Raw genomic sequence first — 4737 nt, forward strand, 5'->3', positions numbered from 1 at the left:
CTCCGCCCCAGGAGCTGTCAGGCAGCAAGCTCCCTTCATTCAAGGCTGCCTTGCCCTGCAGGTGGGCTAGCCACGGCCTCTCTCACTCCTCTCCCCTCTCTCCAGCCCCCTTGATTGCAGTTGCTGGTGGCTGCTTTATTCTGAGGCTGAGTCCTCCCTTTATCCTCTGTCCCAACTCTGGTGGCCTGGCTGGGAGGTCCTGGGCTGAGGCCATAGGCCCTTTGCACCCAGAGCCTACCTCCCAATGCCCCTGCTGACACGGGTCTTGGTTTTGTGCTCTCAGTGGGCCTCACCGCTCTGCCCCGTGCAAGGATGCAGCCGTGCCAAGACCCCAGCACAGGCTTGCCCAACTTTGTGTCACTCCCCGAGACGTTCCCAGCATGTGAAGGTCCAGAAGTCACTAGAAGCCCAGGTGGCTGTTCCCCAGCCTGTAGCCTCTGCCTTCTGAGCCTCCAGAGTACACAGCTGAGTTGTTTACGGCCCTGAACTTTGCAAGCCTCTTACGCAGCATTTCAGCTGCGACCTGGAAGCTTTTGAAATATTAAAATCTTGTTAGCTCCCTGAGCTTTTCCAGGGCTTCGGAGTCCAGTGACTTCCTCTGGTTTCACAAGTCAAATTCAGGCCATGGCTCTTCGCCTCCCTTTGCAGGGTGAGCTGAGGCTTCGAGAGGACGCCTCTCCCTGTCTCCGTCACCTGCCCTTAGCTCTTGGCCTGATGCCTGGTGAAGACTTATGGGTCCTCTCCTGATCCACCCTCACCTTGGCTGTGGCACTCTGATGGGGAGTCCTGGCAGCCACAGCGGCCCCCATAGCGGGCAGAGCTCTGACCCCACTTTATTAGTGGGACCCAGCCCAGCCAGGGCTCGCCAGGGCTCTCTGTTGCCTGACTTGGGATTTCTGCCTGTGTTCCACGAGTCACAGCAGATGAGGTGTTCCGGTTATCTACCGCTGTAAGAAATCACCCCAAAACACAGTGGCTTAAAACACCAAGATTTTATTCTCTCTGATGGCTTCTGTGGACAGGAATTTGGGACACACCCAGCTGGAAGGGCCTAGCCTGGGACCTCAGATGGTTGCAGTCAGATATGCCTAGAGCTGGAACAGTGAGGCTGAAGCCTCTTTTCTTGTAGCCTCTCCTCTCCCGCAAGCCAGAGGAGGAGCCACAGAGGGTTGCTAAGTTCCCTTCATACCAAGGGAGGAAATTTTAAAAAATAAGGACCCACCATCCGTTCTCCCCATCACTTCATAAAAGAATGGATGTGCCAGGTGCAGTGGCTCATGGTTGTAATCCCAGCACTTTGGGAGGCCAAGGCAGGAGGATTGCTTGAGCCCAGGAGCTTGAGACCAGCCAGGGCAATATAGAAAGACCCTGTCTCTACTAAAAATTTAAAAAAGTAGCCGGGCGTAGTAGCATGCTTCTACAGTCCCGTCTACTCTGGAGGCTGAGGCGGGAGGATTGCTTGAGCATGAGCTGTGATCGTGCCATTATGCCACTGCACTCCAGACTGGGCAACAGAGTGAGATCTTATCACTTAAAAAAATGGATGTAGTTATACATCTGAGTGCAAAGGTCAGTTATTCACAGTGGACATATTTGCTTTAGAAAAAACTCACCCCACAGATATTGTTCTCCTTTTGTTCCCCACCAGCAAAAACTTGATCCCAGAGGCACATTCCCTGGCCCTGGACTCCCCTTTCACAGGGTTGGAGCAGGACTCCAAGGTCAAGGTTCCTAACAGCATGGCCCAACCCCAGGCAGCCCCTGTACGCTTCCTCCTGCCTGCAGGACAGAGACCTCTGGCCAGTCAAGGCCACGGATTTCAATAGAAAACCCATCGAGAGCTGCTTGCCTGTCTATGGGGGAGGGAAGATGCTGAAGGCAAGGCTCATACAGGCCGGGAATCTGTCTCCACGCCCCTGCTAGCCTGTGAGAACAGAGGCACTTAGTGTAGTCCAGGATTCATTCTTTTGTCTCCTAGGATCCCTCCCCTTAGAGCTGCCTTCTATTTTTTTTTTTTTTTTTTGAGACGGAGTCTCGCTCTGTTGCCCAAACTAGAGTGCACGAAATCTTGGCTCACTGCCAGCTCCGCCTCCCGGGGTTCACACCATTCTCCTGCCTCAGCCTCCCGAGTAGGTGGGACTACAGGCACCCGCCACCATGCCTGGCTAATTTTTTGTATTTTTAGTAGAGATGGGGTTTCACCATGTTAGCCAGGATAGTCTCGATCTCCTGACCTGGTGATCCGCCTGCCTCGGCCTCCCAAAGTGCTGGGATTACAGGCGTGAGCCACCGTGCCCGGCCAGAGCTGCCTTCTTAGAGTCCCTCGCTCTGAGTCACTGCCTGGAACGTCGCTGGCTGCAGGAAGCCCGTCCTTTTCCTTGGAGCTGAGTACTTCTTGCCCCTTAATTGAATGACCCCATACTGTGGTTTGTCCCCTCATCTTTCATTTGCAGGAAAGCGTTTCTTTTCTGTCTCCTCTTCCAAAAGGTCATTTAAAATCAGATCTCAGCTGTGGGGCACAGGCTTTGAGACTTTTTGTTTTGACAGCCTGGAAGCTTCCTTCTTGTTCTGTTCTGTTCCAACTAGGAGAGGTCGTGCCCAGGTGCCTCATGGATGATGGACAGTTAGAGCCAGCTCCATGGCTCCCGAGAGCCTGGAATTCCATGGGAGGAATGGTGGAAGCTGGTTGTTAAAATGTGGTTGCTTGGCGGGAATCTTTACACCACTGAAATGGGAACCATCCCACACAGTGTCTGACCCCACTTAGTGAGGGGGGTTCAGCCCTGGCTCACGCTGCAATGTCTGGGAGGCCTTTATGTCAAGTGCCTGGGCCGCACCACAAGCTAATCAAATCGAAGTCCCTGGGAGTGAGGCGGGTGCACTGGCATTTTAAATTCCCCTGGTGATTTCAATGCACAGCCAAGGTTGAGAGCAAGGCGAGCGGCTCCTGTGTAGAGATGTCTGCCCCAGGAGACACGATTGATCAGCCAACTCCCTCCCAGGCGCCACTGCTCACTGCCCAAAGCAGGGCTGGGGGCTGTCTGGGAATAGGGCAAGACTTCTCCTTCATTGAAAAAGGCTGATCTATGTCCCAGACCAGCACCTGGTCCGAGGCCAGTTATTTACCCAGTTATTTAACTGAGCTCTTTATCTTCTTGGTCAATAAAAAGCACCATGAAAGCTCTGATATCAGGGAGGGGCGGCCAAGCACACCTTTCCTGGGAAGCACAAATACACCGTGTTTATTAAGGTGCTTGGCGACCTGGGGCGAGTCCCTGCCCCACCCGGAGCATCTGTCTCCAGGTTTAAATGCGGGTGTTTTGCTGAGAGATGGCAAGGCCTCGTCAATGCTGCCCCCTCAGACTGCCCAGGCTGAAACCATGGCCTTTTTTCTTTTAAACACACAGACTCAGAAGGGAGGAGCTGAGCCCAAGGCCCCAGGTAGGGGAGCTGGGCCGGGCTGCCACTGACGTACGGGCTCTAGGTGCCCTGTCTCAGATGGCTCTGCAAAGAAGCTCCGAGACTGGGCCTCCGGGCCTGAGGAGAAGCGTGAACAGGGGGAGGGTGGGGGGCTCCACAGGGGGTCAGGGGCTGGAGGATTGGGGTGGAGCAAACCAGGAACCCACCGTTTCAGGATGTCTTCACTCTTTTTGTTGGCAGCAGCCTCAAAAGCTGAATGGAGCCAACTTCATCATCCTCTTCTGAATGATCTGATTCAAGTGGGGCCTTGCTGGGGAAACTGAGGTCCAGCCACCAACAGCAGTCACGATGCTCCTGTAGCTCCCTTCCCCCAGTTTACTCCCAGAAAGGTCTACATTGTCAACAGCCACAGGGCTGACCCTCATTTCCACGTCCAGGCCCTGGCCAGGGCCATTGCTGGAGCCCAGCTAGGTGTTCTGCTGTGCCCCACCTGGGAGCTGTGCCCCATCCCTCTTCCCTGCAGCACCCACTGACTCGCCTGGCCATGGGGCCTGGGCCCTCACTGTTGCAGTGCTTCCCATTCTGTTCCGTTTCATTTGGAATTGTTCTTCCAGTGTTTAGAGTGTTCCTAGAAAGGGACTGTAAGCGCCACCAGAAGAAAGGTCATTTGGTATCCTGTCCCGATTACCAATTCAGGCAGCATGAAGAGAAGGGAAGTGAGTGGGACTTGGGCCCAGAGAGTCCTGAGTCCAAATCCTGATCTAGTCCGTTAGCAGCCTGAGCCTCTTATTCACCCACAGAGCGGATGAACCCTCCCTGTAGGAGAAGCTGCAAGCTCTTCCCGAGATATCCATTTCCTTGTCTTTCCAGGTACACTCCCCACCCCCTCCATTTTTTTTTTTAGACTAGATCTTGCTGTGTCGCCCAGGCTGGAGTGCAGTGGATCAATCTTGGCTCACTGTAGCCTCAACCTCCCAGGCTCAAGGGATCCTCCCACCTCAGCCTCCTGAGTAGCTGGGACTACAGGAGTATGCCACCACACCCAGCTAATTTTTTTGCTGTTTTGTAGAGATGAGGTATCACTATGTTGCCAAGGCTGGTCTAGAACTTTTGGGCTCAAGCAATCTGCCTGCCTCAGCCTCCCAGAGTGCTGGGATTACAGTGTGAGCCTCCACACCTGGCCTCCAGGGGCACTTTCCATCCTCCTAACAGCTCGGTGTGAGTGAGCTTCAGCCAACTGAAGGCAAATGGAGCAAGGCATGCAATTCCTGTGTCAAGGATGTTATTATAGGAATAGCTGGGTCCCCTCCAAGCTCT

General features: G+C 54.1%; 1 annotated feature.

Annotated features, from left to right (window-relative positions):
- Window positions 210-819: an enhancer, noted in NCBI's record as "H3K4me1 hESC enhancer chr2:10366095-10366704 (GRCh37/hg19 assembly coordinates)". NCBI's record gives its function as "activates a minimal SCP1, AML or CMV promoter by ChIP-STARR-seq in primed H9 embryonic stem cells {active_cell/tissue: H9 hESC(primed)}" and the evidence as "EXISTENCE:reporter gene assay evidence [ECO:0000049][PMID:30033119]".

This window comes from Homo sapiens, chromosome 2 (genome assembly GCF_000001405.40).
Source record: "Homo sapiens chromosome 2, GRCh38.p14 Primary Assembly".
Lineage (NCBI taxonomy): Eukaryota > Metazoa > Chordata > Mammalia > Primates > Hominidae > Homo > Homo sapiens.